The sequence below is a fragment of the Homo sapiens genome, chromosome 17 (assembly GCF_000001405.40).
Source record: "Homo sapiens chromosome 17, GRCh38.p14 Primary Assembly".
NCBI lineage: Eukaryota > Metazoa > Chordata > Mammalia > Primates > Hominidae > Homo > Homo sapiens.
Window position 1 is genome coordinate 80,338,615 of NC_000017.11, and position 27,665 is coordinate 80,366,279.

At 51.0% G+C, this 27,665-nt stretch overlaps 1 protein-coding gene and 1 long non-coding RNA gene across 12 annotated transcripts in view; one reads left to right on the forward strand and one right to left on the reverse strand.

The window, feature by feature from the left end:
- Positions 1-27,665, forward strand: part of RNF213 (ring finger protein 213) — a 137,943-nt gene that overhangs the window by 77,763 nt on the left and 32,515 nt on the right. For 8 of the 11 annotated variants that reach the window (NM_001256071.3, XM_047436482.1, NM_020914.5 and 5 more), the window contains 17 exons: positions 587-1,742; positions 4,518-4,711; positions 5,243-5,401; positions 6,064-9,672; positions 11,156-11,292; positions 11,687-11,782; positions 13,071-13,189; positions 14,326-14,445; positions 14,898-15,052; positions 15,405-15,552; positions 15,827-15,962; positions 19,674-19,865; positions 21,447-21,592; positions 23,120-23,274; positions 24,488-24,700; positions 24,995-25,176; positions 25,819-25,939. In NM_001256071.3, the coding sequence (NP_001243000.2) occupies positions 587-1,742; positions 4,518-4,711; positions 5,243-5,401; positions 6,064-9,672; positions 11,156-11,292; positions 11,687-11,782; positions 13,071-13,189; positions 14,326-14,445; positions 14,898-15,052; positions 15,405-15,552; positions 15,827-15,962; positions 19,674-19,865; positions 21,447-21,592; positions 23,120-23,274; positions 24,488-24,700; positions 24,995-25,176; positions 25,819-25,939 (7,038 nt within the window). Of the gene's footprint in view, positions 1-586; positions 1,743-4,517; positions 4,712-5,242; positions 5,402-6,063; positions 9,673-11,155; positions 11,293-11,686; positions 11,783-13,070; positions 13,190-14,325; positions 14,446-14,897; positions 15,053-15,404; positions 15,553-15,826; positions 15,963-19,673; positions 19,866-21,446; positions 21,593-21,728; positions 23,010-23,119; positions 23,275-24,487; positions 24,701-24,994; positions 25,177-25,818; positions 27,257-27,384; positions 27,600-27,665 lie in introns of those variants that run through there. The other 3 variants (XM_011525087.4, XM_047436484.1, XR_007065355.1) reach the window with 2 other exon arrangements.
- Positions 13,216-27,665, reverse strand: part of RNF213-AS1 (RNF213 antisense RNA 1) — a 63,339-nt gene continuing 48,889 nt past the window's right edge. Inside the window, exon 2 of the long non-coding RNA NR_029376.1 lies at positions 13,216-16,674. This is a non-coding gene — a long non-coding RNA (RNF213 antisense RNA 1). The remainder of the gene's footprint in view (positions 16,675-27,665) is intronic.

A 27,665-nucleotide genomic window follows, 5' to 3' on the forward strand; every position in this document is an offset into this window, starting at 1 on the left:
CTCAAAAAGTATAAGGTTTTTTTTTTTCCCAATTAAAAAAAAAAGATAATTTAAAAAAATTAAAACAGTCCAGGCATCATGGTTCACACTTTGGGAGGCCGAGGCGGGCCTATCACTTGAGGTCAGGTGTTTGAGACCAGCCTGGCGATATGGTGAAACCCCATCTCTACTAAAATTACAAAAATTAGCCGGGCATGGTGGCACGTGCCTGTAATCCCAGCTGCTCCGGAGACTGAGGCAGGAGAATTGCTTGAACCCAGGAGGCAGAGGTTGCAGTGAGCCGAGATCACACCACTGCACTCCAGCCTGGGCAACAATGCAAGACTCCATCTCAAAAAAAAATTAAAAAAAAAAAAAAATTAAAACAAATGATACCATTTATCTCTACAATGACTCTTTCCCTGATGAGAGTGCCATCTTCTCAGGTGGGTTGTGTAGATGAGGAGGGAGGCCTTGTGAGCGCAGATCATGCAGTGGGCCTGTGGACAGGGCCGTCTTTTGGCGGTAGGCCTGTGTGCTGTTGCAGAGTAGCGTGTTACCCTCTCGCATGGCTCTGTGAGCCAACCTCATGGTTCTGCCTCTCCAGGTCTTCTGCAGTGTGCAGAGGCTCAGCCAGGCCTTCATCGACCTGCACTCTGCTGGGAATATGCTGTTCAGGACGTGGATCGCCATGGCCTACTGCTCCCCCAAGCAGGGTGTGTCCCTCCAAATGGACTTTGGCTTGGACCTGGTGACGGAGCTTAAAGAAGGTGGAGATGTCACTGAGCTGCTGGCAGCCCTCTGCAGGCAGATGGAGCACTTCCTTGACAGCTGGAAGAGATTTGTGACCCAGAAGCGAATGGAGCACTTTTACCTGAACTTCTACACGGCAGAGCAGCTGGTTTACCTGAGCACTGAGCTCAGGAAGCAGCCCCCGAGTGATGCCGCCCTAACGATGCTATCCTTCATCAAAAGCAACTGCACCCTGAGGGATGTCTTAAGGGCCTCTGTGGGGTGTGGGAGTGAGGCCGCCAGGTACCGCATGAGGAGAGTCATGGAAGAGCTCCCGCTGATGCTCTTATCAGAGTTCAGCCTGGTGGACAAGCTGAGGATCATCATGGAGCAGTCCATGAGGTGCCTTCCTGCCTTCCTGCCCGACTGCCTCGACCTAGAGACCCTTGGCCACTGTCTGGCTCACCTGGCAGGGATGGGTGGGTCTCCCGTGGAGCGTTGTCTCCCGAGAGGTCTGCAGGTCGGCCAGCCCAACCTCGTCGTCTGTGGCCACTCCGAGGTGTTGCCAGCCGCCCTGGCTGTCTACATGCAAACCCCAAGCCAGCCCCTGCCCACTTACGATGAGGTGCTGCTCTGCACCCCGGCAACCACCTTTGAGGAGGTGGCACTGTTGCTGCGCCGCTGCCTGACCCTGGGCTCCCTGGGGCACAAGGTCTACAGCCTGCTGTTCGCAGATCAGCTGAGCTACGAGGTGGCACGCCAAGCGGAGGAGCTTTTCCACAATCTGTGCACGCAGCAGCACCGAGAAGACTACCAGCTCGTCATGGTCTGTGATGGGGACTGGGAGCACTGCTACCTCCCCTCTGCCTTCAGCCAGCACAAGGTCTTCGTCACCCCCCAGGCACCCCTCGAGGCCATCCAAGCCTACCTGGCAGGTCACTACCGGGTCCCGAAGCAGACCCTGTCGGCGGCAGCCGTGTTCAATGACCGGCTGTGTGTTGGGATCGTGGCCTCGGAGCGAGCAGGTGTTGGTAAGGAGAGCGGCAGGGTGGGCAGGCCCCGTCTCCCAGGGACTGCCCGGGGCCCTTCCCCCCTCCAGCAGATGAAGCCTGTCTGCAGGTGGAGAAACCGAGGCTCAGGGAGGGTGTGATTCATCTGTGGGTGTCAATCAGGGTCTGTGCCAGAACCAGGCACCCTGGTCACCTGGTCTCCCACAATGGGTATTCCCTGGGAGCCCCATTCCCTTCCTCCTCTCAGCAAACATCTCTGCAGTGTACTTTGTGGTTTTTTTTTTTTTTTTTTTTTTTTTTTTTGAGACAGAGTCTTGCTCTGTCACCCAGGCTGGAGTACAGTGGCGTGATCTTAGCTCACTGCAACCTCCGTTTTCTGGGTTCAAGCAATTATCCTGCCTCAGCCTCCTGAGTAGCTGGGATTACAGGTACCCACCGCCATCCCTGGCTAATTTATTTTTTTTTGTTTTTTGTTTTTTGTTTTTTTGAGACAGAGTCTCACTCTGTTGCCCAGATTGGAGTACAGTGGCGTGATCTCGGCTCACTGCAACCTTCGCCTCCCGGATTCAAGCGATTTTCCTGCCTCAGCCTCCCAAGTAGCTAGGACTACAGGCATGCACCAGTACACCCAGCTAATTTTTTTATTTTTAGTAGAGATGTGGCTTCACCGTGTTAGCCAGGATGGTCTCGATCTCCTGACCTCATGATCTGCCCTCCTCGGCCTCCCAAAGTACTGGGATCACAGGCATGAGCCACCGTGCCCGGCCTAATTTTTGTATTTTTAGCAGAGACAGGGTTTCACCATGTTGGCCAGTCTGGTCTCAAACTCCTGACCTCAGGTGATCCGCCCACCTCAGCCTCCCAAAGTGCTGGGATTACAGGTGTGAGCCACCACGCCCGGCCTGAAGTTTACTTCTTCTGCCCTTAAATGCCACTGGCCTCTTTGGGGTTGATGTTGGTCGTGTGAGCAAGGGGAGGTAGAATTGAAGAGAAAGCCATGCCTCTTGACCCACCCTTCGTTTGCCATCTTGTTTCCCTTAAAAAGAAATAGTAGCTTCTGTTCTGTTGACTTTATCCTATCAACAGTACCTCGTCCTGTTGGGATAAACATTACTCTTCCCCTCCCTGCTGAAGCCTCTCCTTTTGCTGTGACTTTTATTAGCTAGTCACTCAACACATAATGACATTTCAGTCAACAGCAGACCACGTATATGACCACGGTCCCATAAGATTAGAAAACTGTACTTTAAAAATTAGCCAGGCATGGTGGTGCATGCCTGTGATCCCAGCTACTAGGAAGGCTGACTTGGGAGGATCGCTCCAGCCCAAGAGGTCGAGGCTGTGGTGAGCTGCAAATACGACACTGCACTCCAGCCTAGGCAACGGGGCAAGGCCTTGGTCTTTTAAAAAAAGAGAAAGAAAGAAAGAACAAAAGATTATAATACCATATTTTTTACTGTACCTTTTCTACATTTTTATTTTTATTTTTGAGATGGAGTCTCACTCTGTTGCCCAGGCTGGAGTGCAATGGCACGATCTCGGCTCACTGCAGCCTCTGCCTCCTGGGTTCAAGCGATTCTCCTGCCTCAGCCTCCTGAGTAGCTGGGACTACAGGCACACGCCACCACACCTGACTAGTTTTTAGTAGAGATGGGGTTTCACCATGTTGGCCAGGCTGGTCTCAAACTCCTGACCTTGAGTGATCACCCGCCTCAGCCTCCCAAAGTGCTGGGATTACAGGCCTGAGCCACCGTGCCTGGCCTGAATATGTTTAGATATTCAGATATTTGCCCCGTGTCACAGCTCCCCACTGTATGTAGGATGCCCCCATGCTGTCACGGCTTGCAGCCCAGGGGCAATGGGCTATTCCACCTAGCTCGGGTGTGTGGTCGGCTCTACCATCTGGGTTTCTGCAGGCACACTCTGATGTTCACAGTGACAGAATCATTTCACAATGCATTTTTCAGAACGTGTCCCTAGTGCTAAGTGGCGCGGGACTCTGCTTTGCCTGCTGTCCTGCGGAGGCAGGAGGTGACCAGGAGAGTGAGTAGGTAACGGCTGGGAAATGTGAAGGTTCAAGAGCGTATTCTTGAATCTGATGTTATGTTGCATCAGTTTTGAATTTTATACAAAGAGAAGTAACTTCTAGTGGATCTTTATAGATTCTCTTACTCTTTGTCCTAGCCCTGGGACTTAATTTTTCTCTCTCTCTCTCTCTCTATTTTTATATATATACACACACATGCTGTATATACATACACTATATATATTCGATACATATTCTATATAGATTTCTATATATATTCTATATATTTTTACATATATAATATATATTCTATATACTTCCATATATACTATATATATTCTATATATACATATATAGTATGTATATATATATTATATATATATTGTATGTATATATATATTATATATATATATTTTTTGAGACAGAGTTTCGCTCTGTCACCCTAACGATGACAACTGCACCCTAAGGGATGTCTTAAGGGATGCCCAGGCTGGAGTGTAGTGGTGCAATCTCAGCTCACTACAACCTCCGCCTCCCGGGTTCAAGCGATTCTCCTGCCTCAGCCTCCTGAGTAGCTGGGATTACAGGTGCCTGCCACCACGCCTGGCTAATTTTTTTGTATTTTTAGTAGGGACGGGATTTCACCACGTTGACCAGGCTGGCTTTGAACTCCTGACCTCAAGTGATCCCCCCGCCTCGGCCTCCCAAAGTGCTAGGATTACAGGTGTGAGCCACCACTCCCAGCCCTAATTTCTGTATTAATGTTATAGGAAAGTCTCTGTACGTGAAGAGGTTGCACGACAAAATGAAGATGCAGTTAAACGTGAAAAATGTGCCTCTGAAAACAATTCGACTGATCGACCCTCAGGTGGATGAGAGCCGAGTCCTGGGCGCCCTGCTGCCCTTCCTGGATGCGCAGTATCAGAAGGTCCCCGTGCTCTTTCACCTGGACGTGACCTCCTCAGTAAGTGCCCTCCAGCGTCAGCCGATGGCCACATCAGTAAAGACGTGGTCCCCATGTCTCTGCGTGACTCCTCCCCGTGTATAGAATTCCTTGTTTCCACACGCACAGTCCTGTGAAGCTTAACAGTGGGAATGTGCTCTGAGAAGTGTGTTGTCAGGCAGTTTCCTCCTTGTGTGAACGTCATGGTGTGCGCTTACACTAACCTAGACGTAGAGCCCACTGCACACACAGGCTTTATGGTACACACTGTCGCTCCTAGGCCGCAAACCTGTGCTGCATATGGCTGTTCTGAATCCTGGAGCCAATTGTAAAACGGTGTATTTATGTGTCTAAACATAAAAATGGTACAGGGAAATATAGTATTAGGATTTTATGGGGCTGCCCTTGGAGACATGGGCCGTTGTTGGCTGAAATGTTGATGTTGATCATCAGGATCATCGTGACAAAGAGCAAAATAAGGAGGGGTTACTTAGAGTTGGGAGAACTCGCCATCGTGTCGTGTGTTTACACCTCGTGCGATTCTGTTCTTAGGTGCAGACTGGAATTTGGGTGTTTCTTTTCAAGCTCCTCATTTTACAATACTTAATGGATATAAATGGGAAAATGTGGCTTCGGAACCCCTGCCATTTGTATATCGTTGAAATCCTGGAAAGGAGGACGTCAGTGCCGTCGAGGAGCTCTTCAGCGCTGGTCTGTACTGTGGGGCGTTTTCGCCTGGCGTGGGGGGCTCTTGGGTTCTTTCTGGTCTTACTGAAGTGGAATGGCGCGTTTAGGAGACTCCACATCTTTGCCTTACTTAGTGCAGCAGCTGAATGCAGTGTTAGTAAAGAAAAGCCCATCTTTAAACTCACTTTTTAATCATGTCTGGGATAAAAGTACTCTTCTGTTAATTAGCAGTGTCTTCAATATTTCTGTTCAATTCAGGCTTCATGCTGTATGCCCAGTCTGAATCCCAGCTGTGCTCTGAATCTAGGAAATTCATCTGTTGAAAGACCTCACCTTTCCTAATGCCAGCTAAGATGAGAAGGAGATGTTTGTCAAAAATTTCTTAGCAAAAGAGAGTTTTATGTTCACTCACATACATAATACATGTATAGCTTAGTGGAGAAACTTAGTTTCAGGAAGTTGGGTTAGAAAGTGATTTCCTGGCTCAGAACGCAGCTCCCACAGCAATGCCTTACTTAATGTGCAAAAGATATGCTGTGGAAAAAAAGACTATACAGAAAGCTACATATTTTCAGTGCGTTTTTCATAAAGGTCCATCCAATATAGATAACGTGGAGGGTTAAGACACAAAAGCATTTCTTAGAAAGTCTTCTTGTAACCATTTCATTAATGTCTCTCCTTTCCAGCGTACACGTGTACCCCAGTTCAGTTTTCTTGACATCTTCCCAAAAGTCACCTGCAGGCCTCCCAAAGAGGTGATAGACATGGAGCTGAGTGCCCTGAGGAGTGACACAGAGCCTGGGATGGATCTGTGGGAGTTCTGCAGCGAAACTTTCCAAAGACCTTACCAGTATTTAAGACGATTCAATCAAAACCAAGACCTAGACACGTTTCAGTATCAAGAAGGCTCTGTCGAAGGCACCCCGGAGGAATGCCTCCAGCATTTCCTGTTTCACTGCGGGGTAATAAACCCATCCTGGTCAGAGCTTCGGAACTTTGCTCGGTTCCTGAATTATCAGCTCAGAGATTGTGAGGCCTCTCTCTTCTGCAATCCGAGTTTTATTGGCGACACACTGAGGGGCTTCAAGAAGTTCGTGGTGACCTTCATGATCTTTATGGCAAGAGATTTTGCCACACCATCACTCCACACCTCTGACCAAAGCCCGGGGAAGCACATGGTCACCATGGATGGGGTTAGGGAAGAAGATCTAGCGCCCTTCTCCCTCCGGAAGAGGTGGGAGTCGGAGCCTCACCCATACGTTTTCTTCAATGACGACCACACAACCATGACATTCATCGGCTTCCATCTGCAGCCCAACATCAACGGCAGTGTCGATGCCATCAGTCACTTGACTGGGAAGGTCATCAAGAGAGACGTCATGACCAGGGACCTGTACCAGGGCCTGCTGCTCCAGAGGGTGCCCTTCAATGTCGACTTTGATAAACTGCCCAGACACAAGAAACTTGAGAGGCTCTGCCTGACCTTAGGGATCCCCCAGGCCACCGACCCCGACAAAACGTATGAGCTCACAACCGACAATATGCTTAAAATCCTTGCCATCGAGATGCGGTTCCGGTGTGGGATCCCGGTTATCATCATGGGAGAAACTGGCTGTGGGAAAACCAGGCTTATTAAATTCCTTAGCGACCTGCGGCGTGGTGGTACCAATGCTGACACCATAAAGCTGGTCAAGGTGCACGGAGGAACAACTGCAGACATGATCTACTCCAGAGTCAGGGAGGCTGAAAATGTGGCCTTCGCCAATAAGGACCAACATCAGTTGGACACCATCTTGTTTTTTGATGAAGCCAACACAACGGAAGCTATAAGCTGTATCAAAGAAGTCCTGTGTGATCATATGGTGGATGGCCAGCCTCTGGCTGAGGACTCTGGCCTGCATATTATAGCTGCCTGCAATCCATACCGGAAGCACTCTGAGGAGATGATCTGCCGTTTGGAGTCAGCTGGTTTGGGCTACAGGGTTAGTATGGAGGAGACGGCCGACAGGCTGGGCTCCATTCCTCTGAGGCAGCTGGTATACCGGGTCCATGCTCTGCCCCCGAGCCTGATTCCTCTGGTGTGGGACTTTGGACAACTGAGTGACGTTGCTGAAAAGCTCTACATCCAGCAGATTGTCCAGAGACTGGTTGAGTCCATCAGCCTAGATGAAAACGGGACTCGCGTGATCACAGAAGTCCTCTGCGCCTCTCAGGGTTTCATGAGGAAAACAGAAGATGAGTGCAGCTTTGTCAGCCTCAGGGACGTGGAGCGCTGTGTGAAAGTTTTCAGGTGGTTCCACGAGCACAGCGCGATGCTCTTAGCGCAGCTGAATGCCTTTCTCTCCAAGTCCAGCGTCAGCAAAAATCACACCGAGAGAGATCCCGTCCTCTGGTCGTTGATGCTGGCCATCGGGGTGTGTTACCATGCCTCTTTAGAAAAGAAAGACTCATATCGGAAAGCCATCGCCAGGTTCTTTCCGAAACCGTATGACGACAGCAGGCTGCTTCTGGATGAAATAACACGGGCACAGGATCTTTTTCTGGACGGCGTACCTCTGAGGAAAACCATCGCCAAGAACTTGGCCTTGAAGGAGAACGTCTTCATGATGGTCGTCTGCATCGAGCTGAAGATTCCCCTCTTCCTGGTGGGGAAGCCCGGCAGCTCCAAGTCTCTCGCCAAGACCATCGTGGCAGACGCCATGCAGGGCCCGGCTGCCTACTCAGATCTCTTCCGCAGCCTGAAGCAGGTCCACCTGGTGTCCTTCCAGTGCAGCCCGCACTCCACCCCACAGGGCATCATCAGCACCTTCCGGCAGTGCGCCCGCTTTCAGCAGGGGAAGGACCTGCAGCAGTACGTCTCTGTGGTGGTGTTAGATGAGGTGGGGCTGGCGGAAGACTCACCCAAAATGCCCCTGAAGACTCTGCACCCGCTGCTGGAAGACGGATGCATTGAAGACGATCCCGCCCCCCACAAAAAGGTCGGCTTCGTGGGCATCTCCAACTGGGCCCTTGACCCTGCCAAGATGAACCGGGGCATTTTTGTGTCACGTGGCAGCCCCAACGAGACAGAGCTCATAGAGAGCGCCAAGGGCATCTGCTCCTCAGACATCCTCGTCCAGGACCGAGTCCAAGGGTACTTTGCGTCCTTTGCCAAAGCCTACGAAACGGTGTGTAAGCGCCAGGACAAGGAATTCTTCGGGCTTCGTGACTACTACAGCCTCATCAAAATGGTCTTTGCTGCAGCAAAGGCTTCAAATAGAAAGCCTTCCCCGCAAGACATTGCACAGGCTGTCCTTAGGAACTTCAGTGGCAAGGATGACATCCAAGCTTTGGACATCTTTCTGGCCAATTTGCCCGAGGCCAAGTGCTCAGAGGAAGTCAGCCCCATGCAGCTGATCAAACAGAACATCTTTGGGCCTTCTCAGAAGGTGCCGGGTGGAGAGCAGGAAGATGCTGAGTCCCGCTACTTACTCGTGCTGACCAAAAACTACGTGGCACTGCAGATCCTGCAGCAGACATTCTTCGAGGGGGACCAGCAGCCGGAGATTATTTTTGGTTCTGGTTTCCCCAAGGACCAAGAGTACACCCAGCTCTGCAGAAACATCAATCGTGTGAAGATCTGCATGGAAACAGGCAAGATGGTGTTGCTTCTCAACCTGCAGAACCTCTACGAGAGCCTCTACGACGCACTCAACCAGTACTACGTCCACCTCGGCGGCCAGAAGTACGTGGACCTCGGTCTGGGGACCCACCGCGTCAAATGTCGGGTTCACCCCAACTTCCGCCTGATTGTCATTGAAGAGAAAGACGTCGTGTACAAACACTTTCCCATCCCCCTCATTAACCGGCTGGAGAAGCACTATCTGGATATCAACACGGTGCTGGAGAAATGGCAGAAGAGCATCGTGGAGGAGCTCTGTGCGTGGGTGGAGAAGTTCATCAATGTCAAAGCACATCATTTCCAGAAGAGGCACAAATACAGCCCCTCTGACGTCTTCATCGGCTACCACTCGGACGCCTGCGCGTCTGTGGTGCTGCAGGTCATAGAGAGGCAGGGTCCCCGGGCCTTGACGGAGGAACTTCACCAGAAGGTGTCTGAGGAGGCCAAATCGATCCTGCTGAACTGCGCTACGCCCGATGCCGTGGTCCGGCTGAGCGCCTACTCGCTGGGCGGGTTCGCAGCGGAGTGGCTGTCGCAGGAGTACTTTCACAGACAGAGGCACAACTCCTTTGCAGATTTCCTTCAGGCACACCTGCACACGGCAGACCTGGAGCGCCACGCCATCTTCACAGAGGTGATTGTCTTTCTGCACTTGTACCCTATCCCCTGTCACCCAAGAGTCCTAAATCCCTCGTGTCAGGATTCAAGATTCTTCCCCAGGCAGCGGTTAGGGATCCTGCAGGGAGATGCTGAGACGCTGAGCTCTCCTCCGCGGTAAGTGTGGGGAGTAGGTCCAGTTAACCAGGTGCTGAGTGCCTGGCTCTGTGCAGTGCACCATGCTGGTAACAGCACCATACACAGTGTTCACACCAACAAATAAAGTACCACGTCCCAGGACTGGGCCAAGGGCACTAGGGACGCACAGATGAATCTGTAGCCCTTGTCCTTTGTTAGCATTAGGGAGCATGGAGAGACCAGCACATGAACAGATGCCATCAATATCATATGATAAATGCTGTGCTTAGAGGCAGCGGGGAGCGGTGCAGACCAGGATGCGAGCTCAGATGAGATGTTCCCTAGGAGAAGCCCCTCGCCGATGGGGAAGAATGGCCGGGAAGGGATTGTAGGCTGAGGGCCTTCTGTGGGCAGAGCCGCTGACAGCTCTTAGGGTTCAAGGCTGTAGTGCTGAGATGGGGCGATGAGGTGCAGTCAGAGAGAACTACTGGAGGCCCTCAGTGACTCTGCAGAGCCACATCTCAGCCCTATGGAGCGGGCACTGGAGGCACGCTTGTCTCCCTGGCTGGGTGAAGGGAGTCTGATGAAAGGCTGTTGTGGAAAAGACGGGCCGGTAGGGAGGCCGCTGGAACCGTACAAAGGAGAGGAGCAGATGGAACCGAGAGATACTCAGGAGGCAATTTGGCAGGGCCAATACCACCACCCAGTGGGGGGATGGGGGGTGGAGGGGTCCGGGGCGACCCCCTGGATTCCTCCTTAGATGAGTGGACATTGCTTCATCATGACAGATACCGCAGGAACGGACAGCAGGTTGTGGGAGGCTAGTGATGATGTCCGCCGGGGACAGGTTTCTATGCATCGTGCAGCTGGACGTAGGAATCTGAGCTCAGTGGTGAGGCAGGGATTCCTGGGCTAGAGCAGCAGGCCTCGAGGAACGTTTCGACTTGCACTGTGATGGGGGAGTGACCTTTGGGACAGGAGAATTGCTGACATCTGGGGGAAGGGGACAGCACCAACCACGAACTCCATCTGAAAGCATGAGTCGTACTATAACAGGAAATGGCATTTGTGCTGAGCCCTAAGGGATCATGAGAATCTCAAGTACGGACCAAGCAGGCAGAGACACGGGCCTCTGGGGAGGAGAGGAAGGCACCCTCGGGGCAGGGTGGGGTCGTCTCTCCAATGCCTTTGGCCCTGTAGGGCCTCTCGGCCCCAGCGCTGCCGTGTTTTGGGAAACTCCTTTGGGTTTGGATTCTGTGCCGTTGTGTGGCAACTGCACCGCGCTGAACATCGCAGGTTTCTAGGATCTGTCTAAACCTGGCAGCAGACTTGCAACCTTTCCTTGAAGTCTGGCAAGTAATTTGCATTTCTTAACTCTGTAGATCACCACTTTCTCCAGGCTGCTAACAAGTCACGACTGTGAAATTTTAGAATCAGAGGTCACAGGCAGGGCTCCGAAACCCACACTCCTGTGGCTGCAGCAGTTTGACACCGAGTACTCATTCCTCAAAGAAGTCCGGTGAGGTTCCCTGCCTTCCCTGCTGCCCTCTCCCTCCCCAGCCGCAGCCGTGTGGCTTCTGCGTGGCGATGGTACCCGCGCCGGTTAATGAGCGCCACAGTCACGTGACTGTGAAATAGATCCTTGTTAAATCTCTCCCAGCATCCCTCTCATCTCCATCATCTTCTGCAACGCGGTGTCTGGCCTAACATCCTCCTCCGAGAGCACCATCCTCGGACCTCGTTAGGAGGCATTCCTTGGGTTTCCTCCCCTGGACTATCTGTTCTTACTGAAGAAAATCCTACCTGAGTAGCTGTTTCTTTGTAGCCTTTATGTTTCCCATCACTTTGGGGAATTTTCTTTTCCATTTTTTTAAGACAGAGAACTCACTTGAATAACTTCCCTTTTCTTTCAGAAACTGTTTAACGAATACAGCCAAATGTAAAATCCTCATTTTTCAGACAGATTTTGAAGATGGAATCCGTAGCGCCCAGCTCATTGCCTCAGCTAAGTATGTTTTTAGTATTTTTCTCAGAAACTATGTAAAAAACCCAAAACGTAGGAAGTCCTAGAGAATTTTTTCCTTGAAGACAGTATAGTATCATAATCAGTATAGAAATAAAAATAACAATTCTTCCCCCGCCTCATTCCCCCAAGTGGGATTAGGGAAACTGAAGAGAGACAAAAAGAAAAGGCCAATAACATTACAAAAATAGTGGAATGGGCCTGGGCAACAGAGCAAGACCTCATTTCTAAAAAAATAAAATAATTAGCCTTCCACAGTGCACCTCTAGTCCCAGCTGCTCAGAAGGCTGAGGTGGGAGGATCGCTTGAGCCTGGGAGGTCAAGGCTGCAGTGAACTGCGATCCCACCACTGCAGTCCAGCCTAGGGGCCAGAGCAAGAGCCTGTCCTCCCCACAAAAAAGGTGAAATGCGAGAGGTGTAAATAATGGAACATTAACAAGCTATAAAAGGATGCCTTTGAAGCCTGTGTTTGTAGACATGTTTTGGTCATTATTAATTTTGAATTATACAATTTGAATTTATTTCAAGTTCGAGGGAAACAACAGTAGGTAAATGCTTTTTTTCCTATTTATTGGATATTTTTATAGTGTTTGTAGGGGAAGTCTGATGCTCTTAGAATTAACTTTGTGCCTTTATTACTTAAAGTAAAAGTGATTTCTGGACCTTTTTGAAGCATTGGATGCCATATTTCAGTTCGTGGCTTAAATCTCAACAAGAAACTGGCTTTGGCCATTGGTCATCTGAAGGGAATGGCATTGCGCACAGAACTCTTTGTTGAAATGGAAAGGTCCACTGGGTACAGGGGCTGTTTCCTGTAATCCTAGCTACTTGGGAAGCAGAGGCAGGAGGATCGTTTGAGGCCAGGAGTTTGAGACCAGGCTGGGCAACACAGCAAGACCCCCATCGCTTAAGAGAAAAGAAGGAATGGAAAGTTCAGCTGTCCTCACCCTTAGCTGCACCGGGGCAGGCCCATTGAGGAGCACAAGATAGGGTTTCTGGTCAACGAAGGAATGCCACTTCAAAGCAGAGGACACAGGAATGGGGAAGAAAACGAGCCGCTAAGAGAAGATTTCTCATCCCCTTGTGAGAGAAGAAATCACGATCGCAGGGCTCTGAAGTTTATGTAAAACTCATCGGAACGGGTGGCCGTGAGACCGAACCAACAGCTCGGAGAACACCCTTCTGCAGCTGCACAGCTTTGCTTTGTTTATTTGCTTGTTTTTGTGTGTGTGTTTGTTTTTAAAATAGGTATTCTTTTTTTTTTCTTTAAATAGGTATTCTGTTATAAATGAAATCAACAAAATACGAGAAAATGAGGACCGTATCTTCGTCTATTTCATCACAAAACTGTCCCGGGTGGGAAGAGGAACAGCCTATGTGGGCTTCCACGGAGGTGAGATCAGAACATCAGTCAGGGTATTTATTTATGTATTTATTTATTTATTTGTATCTATTTATTTTTTGAGATGGAGTCTTGCTCTGTCACCAGGCTGGAGTGCAGTGGCGCGATCTCAGCTCACTACAACCTCAATCTCCTGGGTTCAAGCGATTCTCCTGCCTCAGCCTCCCAAGTAGCTGGCATTACAGGCGTGCGCCACCATGCCCAGCTAATTTTTGTATGTTTAGTAGTGACGGGGTTTCACCACGTTGGCCTAGATGGTCTCAATCCGTTGACCTCATGATCCGCTCGCCCCAGCCTCCCAAAGTGCTGGGATTACAGGTGTGAGCCACCGCACCCAGCCCAGTCAGTGTATTTATTTAAGTCATGTTGGAACTGTTTCTCATTTGGTTCTGTGTTGTACAGTCTGAAATTAGAATATTATTGTTAACCTCAAGAGGATTCTTTCCAGATGCAATTAGATTTCTTACCACTGATTACCATGAAAACATGAATCCTGGGATGGGAGGCTGCGTGCACCTCTCCTGGACTGACTCTAGGCAAGCTCCTCACCTCTTAGCATGTAGGTCACACGGCGTGGAGACTCCCGACTCCCGACAGACACTGTCAGGAACGCACCGATACGCCTGTTTGGCGGGGAGGGAGAGTGGCGGGGGTCGGACTATCTTCAGATCTCTTTTTTTCCAAGGAATGGTCACCAGCTATTTATGACATAGAAAAGTTGGTATTCCAGAAACAGGAAAGTAAGTTTACTTGAATAATTTCGTGGAGAATGGAAGGCAGACCTTGCCAGTGTCCCCCACCCCTCACTAACTGTGATACAGCAAATACAACAATGCATGGGTGAAAGAACCACAGGCCTTATCCATGCGTCCTTCCCACGCTGGCCATTGCAGGTCTTACCGTTGCTGCTTATGGTGAAGCTGTCGATGGGCATAGAATCGGGTCGTGTATAGTATCGGGTTGGGTGGTTTCTGCGCAGGCCCATTCCAGGGTTTCGGCTTCAGGGTGCCAGTCATTCATTGCGCAGCAAGATAATGACAAGCCAGGGTGTGCAATGTCCCTGCTTAGGGCTGAGCAGCAGCCGGGAAAGACACAAAGACAGTTGTGGGTGGCTTCACTCTTCACAGGGCTGTGGCAGTCTGTCCACATCGATGACCTCCGGAGATCCACCCTCATGGTTTCTGATGTGACCAGGCTGCAGCATGTCACCATCAGCCAGCTGTTCGCGCCCGGAGACTTGCCTGAGCGTGAGTCACGAGGCGGAGCCCCTGGGGGAGCAGGTGGTGGAAGGGCAGATGGCAGGTGTGGAGCGTGGCGTGCACATGGCACTAGGAGCAGGGCCACCGTGTTTCGTCCCTCGGCAGGAGCTCGGGGACACATCTGCAGAACTGACTGGTGGCTCATCATAGAGCACCAGGGCCGAGCAGGTGCGCTTACCACAGGCTGAGGTAGAGCTCTGTGAGCAGGCCAGCCATGGAAGTGAGCACCTAGAACACGCCAGAGCCCAGGCTGGAAGGAAGGGGCTGCCTTGGGGGCTGATCTTCATGACCGTGATCTCTCATCTGGGGACCTAGCACCACAGCAGGGGCCGGGGAAGCCTGCACTCGGAGGCTGAGCACACAGACTCCCAGATGGCACCGCTGCCAGTCCCTGTGCCACCTTCTGAGTGGTAACGCAATCACGTTTGCTTCGACTGCAGTGGGCTTGGAACACCGGGCGGAAGACGGCCATGAGGAGGCGATGGAGACGGAGGCCAGCACATCAGGGGAGGTGGCAGAGGTGGCAGAGGAGGCCATGGAAACAGAAAGTTCTGAGAAGGTGGGAAAGGAAACCTCTGAACTCGGAGGCAGTGATGTAAGTTCTGGTTCTTGGGACCTCCCCTTGTGCTGCTGGTGATGCTTCTGAGCTGCATCTTTAAACGCTTTTGCATTGGGAGCTAGAGGAGTCGCCGCCGCTGTGCAGGGGTGAGGATGGCGCCCCACTTTCCTCACACAGTGACGGTCTTGTTGCTGGTTACTGGGGGTCAAGGGCATCTGCACCGGCAGTTTGGGGGGTGCAGGGCGGAGGTCGGCGTCTCTTCTTTGTCCGTGAGGACCGCCGCCCTGTGCTGTTTGCTGCATTGAGACCCTCATCGCATACGGGCGGTTTGGCTTTTGCCCACTGTGTCAGTGGCAGAAACGGATGACCCAACCGTCTCCACCAACAGGTGTCGATCCTGGACACCACCAGGCTGCTGAGAAGCTGTGTGCAGAGCGCCGTGGGCATGCTCAGAGACCAGAACGAGAGCTGCACGCGCAATATGCGGAGGGTGGTGCTCCTCCTGGGCCTCTTGAATGAGGATGACGCGTGCCACGGTATGAGCCTCCCCACCCCTCTTGCCCCTGCCCCCACGTGGGCTCTTCCTGAGGAGTGGGCATCATTTCACTGTGTGTTGGGGGACACCCTCTCAGGTTTCCATGGCTCAGCAGAAGCAGTGACACAGTGGGAATCTAAGAGCATCTCTCAGATTTTGCTCTAGAATTGGCCTGGCCAACGGACTTCCCTTCCTGGGGGAGGTGGGACAGAAGCACTCCGGAGCCAACAGCTCAGCCACGGCCATGCTGAACGTCTGTTTCTGCCTTTGTACAGCCTCTTTCTTGCGGGTATCCAAGATGCGCCTCAGTGTCTTTTTAAAGAAGCAAGAAGAGAGCCAGTTTCACCCTCTGGAGTGGTTGGCAAGGGAAGCCTGCAACCAGGACGCTCTCCAGGAGGCGGGCACATTCAGGTACTGTGACTAAAGGAAGCAAGGAGTGGCTCCAATCTGGTGGCAGCATGGGGACCTGCCTGCAGGGATCCTCTCTCCATCCGGGCCATGGGGACTGAGCTGTTTCTTTCCAAACCTCTCAGCCATTCAAAGCTGTAAAGTTTTTCCCCAAGAAGCACACAGTAGGTCTGGACAGTGGCCAAATGGCAGGTGCTGGACTCTTCCTCTAATTTCGTGTTTACAGTTTTTCATACTAAAAACTTAAAAAAAGTAAAACATCTGTTCTTAGAGTAGAACATTTACCGACATTCATGTTGATAACCCTAGAAAGGGCTGCTGTTTTCAGTCATGAAGTTAAAATGACGTGCAGAGCAGGCAGGGGACAGGCGGGATTTTCCCAGTCCTGCTGTTTGAAGAATGGTAACAGCAAAACCAGGACCCAGCAGTATATTCACTGCCATGGTTATTTTTCTGTCACCCATGAGACTAACCTTGATTATCTTGGATGTGGCCGTGTATTGAGGAAGGAGGGGTGCTCTGGGCCCCAGACAGAGGGTCTCTTTAAGACAGACTCTCAGACCTCCTGCCTGAAAGCCTAAGAAACCAGTGACTTGGTTATTTGGGCCCAGTTTTCCCATCTCTAAAAGACAGCGGACTCCTCCATGAGTCCCCTTCCAGGTCCAAGCTTCTGTGCCAGTGATAGGTTCGCTTTGGGCCTACAGCCAGGTGTGATCTGCAGGAGGGAACGTGAGGAAGAAGCGGGGTGAACGGTAATGGGGGCTTACAGGGGAAGAAGCGGGGTGAACGGGAATGGGAGCTTACAGGGGAAGAAGCGGGGTGAATGGGAATGGGGGCTCACGGAGGAAGAAGCGGGGTGGATGGGAATCGGGGCTCACGGAGGAAGAGGGGTGACCGGGAATGGGGGCTCACAGAGGAAGAAGCGGGGTGACCGGGAATGGGGGCTTACAGGGGGAAGAAGCGGGGTGGACGGGAATGGGGGCTTATGGAGGAAGAAGCGGGGTGAGTGGGAATGGGGGCTTACAGGGGAAGAAGCGGGGTGAGTGGGAATGGGGGCTTACAGGGGAAGAAGCGGGGTGGACGGGAATGGGGGCTTACAGGGGGAAGAAGCGGGGTGACCGGGAATGGGGGCTTACAGAGGAAGAAGCGGGGTGGACGGGAATGGGGGCTCACGGAGGAAGAAGCGGGGTGAATGGGAATGGGGGCTCATGGAGGAAAAAGCGGGGTGACCGGGAATGGGGGCTTACAGGAGAAGAAGCGGGGTGAACGGGAATGGGGACTTACAGACACCTTCCTCGTGACCAGAGATTTTCTGATTCTACTTTTTCTCTAGTTATCCTTCGTTTCTCTCCTTGTCACGCCTTCTGAAGGGATTTTAGGAGATCAGAAATATTTTCATTTCCCTCCGTTCCTCCTTGTGGACTCTCTTGATGCTTTTTTTTTTTTGAGACGGAGTCTCACTCTGTCGCCCAGGCTGGAGTGCAGTGATGCGATCTCAGCTCACTGAAACTTCCACCTCCTGGGTTCAAGCGATTCTCCTGCCTCAGACTCCTGAGTAGCTGAGACTATAGGCACCCACCACCACACCCAGCTACTTTTGGTATTTTTAGTAGAGGCGAGATTTCACCATGTTGGCCAGGCTGGTCTCAAACTCCTGACCTCAGGTGATCCACTCGCCTCAGCCTCCCGAAGTGCTGGGATTCCAGGCGTGAGCCAGTGTGCCCGGCCTGTTGATGCTTTTGAATCCCTGACTCCACTCCCCGGGACCAGCCCTGAGTCACTGAACCTCCTCAGTCTGCTCTTCCCCACTCTGCTGTTCACGCAGCACTAGGCCTGGCTCCGTCGTGTTCTGTGGTCACCGTGAGGCCTGCGCAGCCGCTGAGTGGTGGCCAGACCCGCACCCTCAGCTCACCTGCCCCAGGGCCAGCAGCACCCTGACTACCTCGATTCACCACCACTGTGTTCTGGGGACTGGAGTCCTTTGCCCTCTCGGGATTAAACAGCCCAAATCCTGAGAGTCCTTTGTGTCCCGAACTCTGCCTGCCTGTCCAGATACAGCAGAACCAGGCTCAGCGGCTCCAGATAGGGCGGAACCAGGCTCGGCGGCTCCCGCCTCTCCCAGCGCTTGTCCCAGCGCCTGGGTTTTCCTTCTGCCTTTTGTGTTCGCGACACTTTTCCTAGTTTGCTGTTTTCTCCCTCTGTGCACTGGGATGCTTTATTTTCCCAATAGACATTTTAAAATTCTTGCCAGGTTCCTCTGTACTATATATTTAAAAAATGTAGGTATTTCTTTTTATTCTCTTCAAAAGAGAGGCTTCGCTTTTCCCCCAACATTAATTACCTTGTGGGGTTTTTTTTTTTTCGAGACAGAGTCTCACTCTCGTCCCCCATGCTGGAGTGCAATGGCGCGATTTTGGCTCACTGCAACTTCTGCCTCCCGGGTTCAAGCGATTCTCCTGCTCAGCCTCCTGAGTAGCTGGGATTACAGGTGCCTGCCACCACGACTGTAATTTTTGTATTTTTAGTAGAGACGGGATTTCACCATGTTGGCCAGGCTGGTCTCGAACTCCTGACCTCAGGTGATCCGCCCGCCTCAGCCTCCCAACGTGCTGGGATTAGACGTGAGCCACCGTGCCCAGCCACCTTTTAATTCTTATCCTTTACACAAGAATTTTGAAATAGAGCTATTATTGTTACATGTAAATATATACAACAAAATATATATAACAACAAAATGTCTTGTAGTTAACCAATTATCTTTCTGTCTGCCTATCTGTGCATTCATCCATCCCTCCGCCTGCCTGTCCATCCACCCATCTGTCCGTCCGCCCATCTATCCATCCACCTGTCTATCAGACACTCAGATCTAGTGTACAAAAACATCAACAGGAACAAATACTTAGTTCCAGATAAACATGTGCCTTCTTGTTTAGTTTGATCTGGGACAAATTCATTTTGGTCTCTTCATCTGTATTATAGTCTATCTACAACAGATTTTTAAAATATTTATTTTTTCCAAATGAATCGTCATAATTTTATTTATTTAGAGAACCTCGATGACTTGTTCTGAAAAATAGTTACATACAAAAATTATGCAGCCTTGCAAAAAATAAAGCAGATAAGTGCGGTGGCTCACACCTGTAATCCCAATACTTTGGGAGGCCAAGGCGGGAGGATTACTTGTGCCCAGGAGTTTGAGACCAGCCAGCTAGGGCAACATAGTGAGACCCCATCTCAACAAAAAATAAAATAAAATTTAAAAATTAGCTGGGCATGGTGGCACTGGGTGTGTTGTTCCTGTCTACTTGCACGGCTGAGGTGGGAGGATCGTTTGAGCCCAGGTATTCCAGGTTATGACGATCTATGATTGTGTCACTACACCGCAGTTGGCGTGACAGAGTGAGACCCTCACATACATGTTTTAAAAATAAAAAAGCAAACACTACTTCACCCTTCCAGTAACCTAATGACAGTTTATTAGATGTAGAATTAAGTTCCATTCCAGTTCCGTCTCTAATCTTAGACATCTTTGTGAGTCTGTTTTCTAGGACTTAAAAATGATGGAAATGTCAAGTTATTGCTGTCGCTGTAGTGTGGTAAATAGTAGACTAGTTGTTTTGTTAATGCTCAAGAAGGAACAAAATGTCAAAAGGTGGCAGACCGCCACTCTGGTTCCTCTGACCCGTGGTGGCCCATCTCTCTTCTGTGCTGCAGGCACACCCTCTGGAAGCGGGTCCAAGGTGCTGTCACCCCTCTGCTGGCGAGCATGATATCATTCATCGACAGAGACGGCAACCTAGAGTTACTGACCAGGCCAGATACTCCGCCCTGGGCAAGAGATCTTTGGATGTTTATTTTCAGTGACACGATGCTTCTGAACATTCCTCTTGTGATGAATAATGAAAGGTGAGTGGAAGGCTTTCTTTCCCTGGGGAGAGAAACTATCAGAACACAGCAGGACCCTAATATGCTCTCCCAAGTGCTGGGTGAAACGCAGCCCTCAACTTCAGAGCAACGTTGACATGGGTGCTTTCTGCAGTAACAATAGGAAGTTTGGCCGGGCATGGTGGCTCACGCCTGTAATCCCAGCACTTTGGGAGGCCGAGGCAGGTGGATCATGAGGTCAAGAGATCAAGACCGTCCTGGCCAACGTGGTGAAACCCCGTCTCTACTAAAAATACAAAAATTAGCTGGGCGTGGTGGCGCGTGCCTGTATTCCCAGCTATTTGGGAGGCTGAGGCAGGAGAATTGCTTGAACCTGGGAGGCGGAGGTTGCAGTGAGCCGAGATGGCGCCACTGCACTCCAGCCTGGTGACAGAGCAAGACTCTGTCTCAAAAAAAAAGAATAGGAAGTTTACGAAGCTCTGAGAAATTTCTGTTTTATCTCCACCCTCCTCATTTCCCTGCTTTCAGAGCACTGGTTCTAGCCAGACCCAGCATGGCGTGACACGGAGACAGTGCGCTGCGAACAGCCCCACAATCTGTGCTCCTTACCCCTGGGATCTGTGCTCCCTCCCCGTCCCTCATTCCCTGGTGGAGCGGCACAGCCCCCACCCCCTTCCGCAGGCCTGATGATGTGCGGCTCAGGCTCAGCTCCCAATAGCTTCCACTTCAGCTTTCAGGGGCTTCAATTCTGGATGTAGATTTATAAAGAATATAGAAATAAATGTGCCCAGGCTCGGTGGCTCATGCCTATAACCCCAGCAATTTAGTAGGCTGAGGCAGGAAAGTTTCTTGAACCCAGGGGTTGAAGACCAGCTTGGGCAACATAGTGAGACCCCATCACTACAAAAAATTTAAAAATTAGGCATAACGTGGTGCGCACCTGTAGTCCCAGCTACTCTAGAAGCTGAGGCGGGAGGATTGCTTGAGCCCAGGAGTTTGAGGTGAGATAGGATCACACCACTCACTGCACTCTAGCCTGGGTGGTGACAGAGTGAGACTCTATCTCAAAAAAAAAAAAAAAAAAAAAAAAAAAAGAGTGAGAGAGGGAGGGAGACAGAAGGAAGAAAGAGAAAGAAAGAGCGAGAGAAAGAGAGAAAGAAAGTAAAGAAAGAAAGAGTGAGAGAAAGAAAGAAATGGAATTTGAATTGCCAGTGGAAACACTTATTTAAAAGACAAGGCGCTGCTGATGTTCATGAAGCAAAGACTCTAACAAGTTGTGCTCTGTGTTACAAGTTATCAAAGCCAGACAGGTTCAGGAACCAGAAGACTTGGTTCTGCCCGAGATTTTGGGCAACACACTTGACCCCTGTCAGCCTTGGTTTGTTTTTGTTTTGCCTGTGAAACAAAGATTGCATAAGACAGTTCCCTAGTTCTGTCATAACAGAAACCCTGTACTGTGAAACAGATCAGCGCCGTCTGCCTGGCCTGTTGGCCCCTTTGTTTTTGAGGTCTGAGAAGAGCTGGCATCAGTGGCAGATCTTATCTTGTGTTTTGAGTGACGTCTCACAAACCCTCTTCTTATCATCCCTCACCTTATTGCAGACATAAAGGTGAGATGGCCTACATCGTGGTGCAGAACCACATGAACCTTTCCGAGAACGCTTCCAACAACGTCCCTTTCAGCTGGAAAATCAAGGACTATCTGGAGGAGCTGTGGGTCCAGGCTCAGTACATCACAGACGCAGAAGGTGAGGCTACCTCAAGACAGGTCAGATTCAGCACAGGTGAATCACAAAGGGATTGCCTGACAGTGAAAAGCAGATGGGTGGCTAGAATTGCAAGGTGAATTTTGGAGTTTTTAGTTTTCACACTTTGTTTGTGCAGTAAGCGTCCAATTTACGTCACCGCGTCATTTTAAAGTTTCTGCTGAAGGAGTGAGAGGCCCCGGCGGGACCAGAAACCTTTCGATCCTATGGCAGCAGGAGCCTGTGAGATGGTTTTTAGTGCCGTGATGGCCAGGGATATGGCGAAATGGGGTGTGTTCTGGCAAGAGGAGGACTGTCGCCTCTATCAGCTGGTCATTCCCATTCTGGGCCTTCTCAGACTGGGGCACTGGACTCGGAAGATGCCCCCAGGAGAGGCGTTCTCAGAAGGCACGAGCGCCTGGAGCATCCCCTACTCCCAGGTGCCCCATCAGGAGGCACCTCCCAGCTGTGTCTCCCGAGTCACAGCCCAGACACAGTGCTGAGCTCTGCTGCCAGATGCCAGAAGATTTGCCCTAGTCCAGAAAAACCAACGACAACGCAACACTTTTACAAAAGCCATCTTTCATACATGCAATAGTCTTTTCCACGTTTACTTATCGTACCATTTGGAAGACTCAGGGTGGCCTTCTTTTCTAGGTTACCATTCTGCCACTTTTTCTCAAAGCAGTCTCTCTCCTCATGAGCATATTCCTTTCTCAGGACAATACCCCAACTGACCCTGCTTTTCTATGACAGCATGCGAATTAGGGGCTGCACCCCGCCCACTAGAAGCCAGATCTTTCTGGCTTGCATGCTCTGTGACCCCCAGCCCCTGAAGAGCAGCCCACTTGTTCCTAATTTACTTGGACCCGGGGGTTCCTGAAGCATGCTGTGACCTGTAGCCATGCAACATACAATGTAGCCATGCAACATACAACTCAGTCTTATCTAGATGTTTCTCTTTGGGGCTAGCTTGGCTGTTTCTGACCTAAATTTGACACTGTTTCCGCCTTCCTTTATTTTATTCCACTGGAAAAATATCCTAGGCCAGGCGCAGTGGTTCACAACACCTTGGGAGGCCAAGGCCGGCAGATCACCTGAGGTCAGGAGTTCGAGACCAGCCTGACCAACATGGTGAAACCCCGTCTCTACTAAAAATACAAAAAATTAGCTGGGTGTGGTGGTGCATGCCTGTAGTCCCAGCTACTTGGTAGGCTGAGGCAGGAGAATCACTTGAACCTGGGAGGCGGAGGTTGCAGTGAGCAGAGATCACGCTACCCACCGCACTCCAGCCTGGGCAACAGAGTAAGACTCCATCTCCAAAAAAAAGGAAAAAGAAAAATATCCTAAATGTCTAGACAGTGACTATTCCTTCAATTCCCTACAAAATCAGGCAGTTGGTACCCCTTTGTCTACGAGCTCCCATTCAACAAGGCGTCCCCATTCCCCTTCACTCCGGAGCCCCCTGGAGGCAGGGGAGCGCCATGACTTAGACGCACTCCAGGCCGCTCCTTGGTTTCCTCTCTGCAGGACTGCCCAAGAAGTTCGTGGACATCTTTCAGCAGACTCCTCTGGGCAGGTTTCTTGCCCAGCTCCATGGAGAGCCGCAGCAGGAACTTCTTCAGTGTTACTTGAAGGATTTCATTCTCTTGACCATGCGTGTGTCAACGGAGGAGGAATTAAAGGTAGATGTTTAGATACTGGCTAAGGGTCAGGTGTAGAGCTTGCATGATGGGGACTGGATGCAGACACGGAGACGTTTCCTCAGCTGCCTGGAGCTGGTGCTGTGAAGTCTGGGAACAGAACATGGTCAGCGAAGGGTGCCGGTGGGTGAAGGGGTCGCCCAGTCTCCTCTCAATATTCAGTGCTACACCCTCAGTCCACCGCCCAGGGGCTCCTAAAACACGGAGCTTTCTGTGAACATGAGAAGACCTCCAATTTCCTTGACATAGCTTCTTTTTAAATGTTGAGTTTCTCTTGAAAAAAATTAAATACGTAACTAACCCTACAGGGTAAGAATAAACAAGTGAAATTCAATAGAAAGTCATACTTTTGACTACCTAAAAATTTTAAACTTCAGTACATAAAAAAGGAGAGTGACAAATTTAAGAACATCCTTACAGCTAATATGACTAGAGGTTAATATTCTTAGGAATCAATAAGAAAATACCCTAAGTTTTAAAAAATGGGTAAACGTTATAAAACAACAATTTTATAATCTCATTAAGCATATCAACATCCAGGAAACATTTGAAAAATTGCTTAGCCTTACTATTAATAGCAAATCAACACAACAGTTTTTAGATATCATGTTTACGTATTCATTTTGCAAAGCTGATTTTTAAAAACAACAGCCGCCGGCCAGTGCTGCAAAGAAATAGCCAGGCCACGCGGCTGACAGTGTAGCGTGCACAGTGGGCGCCCTGCAGGGCTGCGTGGCAGAACAGTTGAGCACCTTATCCGATCTGAACTGCTGACTCTGTCCTGAGGAAACTACTGGAGATGTGGACAAATATTTGGTTCACAGGGATGTCCTTTTCAGCTTTGCTTCGAAAAATAAGAAATAGTTTAATTGTCCGGAAATACAGGATGGGCAAATTAAAGTATGGCCGTATGATGGGTTATTGAGCAGCCATTAAAACCATGTTTTTCAAGTATACTCAGTCATAGGGAAAGTTCATGATGTCATGTTCAGTGGCAAAAAGCCCAGACGACACGGTGACCTTAACGTGGGAGGAGAGGCAGATAGAAAACTGGACAGAAGCAAACGGGACAGAATAGCACACATGGTTTCTAATTTCCTCTTTTATGGTTTTCCAATAGTTCGGATTTCCCACGGGGAAAACATACCATTTTTGTAATTTAAAAATATATTCTAAAAGCTTTTTTGAATCCCAGTTTCTGCAGATGGCTCTGTGGTCCTGCACTAGGAAACTGAAAGCGGCGTCAGAAGCGCCCGAGGAAGAGGTTTCCTTACCGTGGGTGCACCTTGCCTACCAGCGTTTCAGAAGCCGTCTGCAGAACTTTTCCAGAATCCTGACCATCTACCCTCAGGTTCTCCACAGCCTGATGGAAGCCCGTTGGAACCATGAGCTGGCTGGATGTGAGATGGTATGGCCCTCCTCCGCCTGCCCTGAGCAAGCCTTGTGGTGCTTCCAACTCCACTCTGGGAATGGAGAGCTTCTGGGGCTGTGTTCCAAGTGGGAGATTTCTTCACAAGGCACATACCTTAGCTGAATTCAGAGATGTTAAGGACACATCTCGCTGACGCTTCTCACATCCTAGACAATGAAAGTTTAGGTCGCAAGCCTGGGACACAAGTATACATGCAGCTAACAGCCGGGGCCTCTGGTGGGCCGGTGGGAGGGGCACCGCTCAGCCACGCCCTGCTGTCCGTCTCCCCAGACCCTGGACGCATTTGCCGCAATGGCCTGCACGGAGATGCTGACAAGAAACACCCTGAAGCCCAGTCCCCAGGCGTGGCTACAGTTGGTGAAGAATCTTTCCATGCCGCTGGAGCTCATCTGCTCCGATGAGCACATGCAAGGCAGCGGGAGCCTGGCCCAGGCTGTCATCAGGGAAGTCAGGTGAGACCCAGGAGCCCTCACCCACTGCTTCATCTGGCGCGCGCTCACCAGGAGCCTGCCAAGTGCCAGGCATGTCCATGAGAAGACGGGCAGGTGCTCCTGCCATGGGAGGGGCTCCGTCCTCACCCGTTCACTCCGCATTTGCCGAACCCTTAGTGAGTGCCAGGCGTCTCATTAGGGTGCTGGAGACACGAGAGGCGGCTGTGCATTCAGGGAGCGCACTGTGTACTGGGGCCGTAGAAAGGCAGACGGGCTATTGTGATGCCGTGTGAGAAATGCTGTGGTAGAAAGGACACCCCGGGCGGGCAGGTGCACAGAGCAGGACAGGCCCTCAGGGCCAGAGTCCACTTCCCTAAAGGTGAGGTGGGACTTGACAGGCGCAGGATCATGCAGTGAGCGGGTTGTGGTGGTACCCCATGCAGAGGCATCACAGTGGGACACCGAGTCCCAGCTAAGCTGAGCGTCTGAGAGCGAGAGCTGGGGGCGGGCCAGGAAGTATGTCACATAGGGCTTGCTTGTAATCCCAGCCGCTGGGCCTGGACCCCGGGTCCCGCATCTCTTCTCCCGTCTCCCTCCTCGTTTCACCCTTGGGTTCCTTGGTGGGAGCCGAGTGAGTGAGTGAGTGGCGCCCTCTTTTGACAGAGCCCAGTGGAGTCGGATTTTCTCCACCGCACTCTTCGTGGAGCACGTGCTCCTAGGAACCGAGAGCCGCGTCCCCGAGTTACAGGGGCTGGTGACCGAGCACGTCTTCTTACTAGACAAGGTGAGTACTTGGGCTGGCCTCAGCACATGCACGGATCCACCCTTTTCCGAAAGGAAGAACAGCACTGACAGTGATCTGCGGCTGGGAGACGCTCTTTTGGCTCTGACCGTTTTGTCTAGACATGCAAAGGAAGGTGATTTCATCACTAGGCCATTACATTTTCCATGTTTAATTGTTTAATTATTTACCCTCTGCTGATTGCTAAGTCAGAGCATATCATTTAGAAGTGATTCCAGGAACTGTGTGCAGAAAGGGGCTGACGCAGGGAACATGCTTGTGAAACCTTCGGCAGGGATTACCTGGCCTTTGGAGTGACCCCAGAACAGACCACTAGCCTGGCCATCTGTGGAAGCTGTTACCATTTTCATAGTCATGGAGACAAGGATGTCAGAGAATGCCACCGGGGTTTGGGGTCTTCAAAACAGTGCTGTCAACAGAACCAAGGAACAGGAAGCCACCATGCCTGTCACTCAACACCCTTCATAAAGCTACTAATGTGGGGTGGTCTGCAGAAAGAAACCTGTGACCCTACAGTGATGCCCCTCTGTGGCCACGCAGTGGTGTCCAGCAACAGTGGCCACTCAGCCAAACACAGCCTCAGCCTCTGCCTCACCCGCACCCGTGACCTTCACGTGAGCACATCCAGAGCCCTCACCGCCAGGGGGTCTGGAAGAGGCAGCGCTGGCTGTCCGACCTTTGGAGCACAGGAAGGTTTACTAAAAGGAGGCCAGCATGGATGCTGGATGTGTTGACTCTGACCTATCAAAACATCAGCGGCTTAGACACAGTATCAGCTGATTTCCCACCCAGGATGGGTATGAGCAGCCCAAGGCTAAGGTACCAGCTCCCCGGAGGCTGGCACGGAGTCAGGTGCCCACGCTCCGTCTTGTCCCTTCATTGTCCCTAATGTTCAGCTTCCACCCCGTGGCCTGGCGTCACAGCCTGTGGGACAGAAAGCAGGGGAGGTAGAGGACAGGCCGTTTTCCTTAAGAGCCCAATCCCGGACACGCACACGCCACACCAGCTCGTGTCTCGTGGTCCTAAACTTAGGCACTCGGCCTTATCTGGTTGCAAGAAACTGAGGAGTTTTTCGTGGCATGGTCATGTTCCAGGTGGAACTTGAGTTCTTCTGCTGAAGGAAAAGGCGGAGAGAGGATAGTAGGACACAGCCGGTGCCCCCCTTCCACCCTTTTCCCCACACCCACACAGCATGCAGCCTCTCCAAGTCTCATCATGTCTCGGCGCTCTGGGAGATGCACAGGGCTTTCAGCCAGGTCCAGCGTGGGTCATAAGGGCCAGGTGCCCATAAACCCAAAGGTAAAGGAGCTGGCCCCTGCCTGCTCACATGCCCACAGGATTTGGGAGGTTAGGAACGTGGGGAGGGTTTTTTTTGGCGATAAAATGGCCTCAGAAACTTACTGGGTTTCTGGTTTATTTCCTTCCAGTCAGATCTCTGTGCAGGTAACCACAGCCAAAGACCTTACCTCGTTAGTTTTCCTGCTGGAAGCCTGACTTGTACCCCTACCCAGCCCCCGCTGAAGAGCAGCCCTTGGGACCATTTGAAACAAGAGGCTTGGGGGAAAGCCCTGCCTTCCGCCGTGAGGCTGGCTCCCTCGGCCGGGCAGGAAGTTGTCGACGGAACTGCTGCAGGATGGCACGGGTGGGACTGCGGGCATGGCTGGCTTTTAGTTGTTTTGGATATGTACCTTGAAGGGGAATTCCTGGA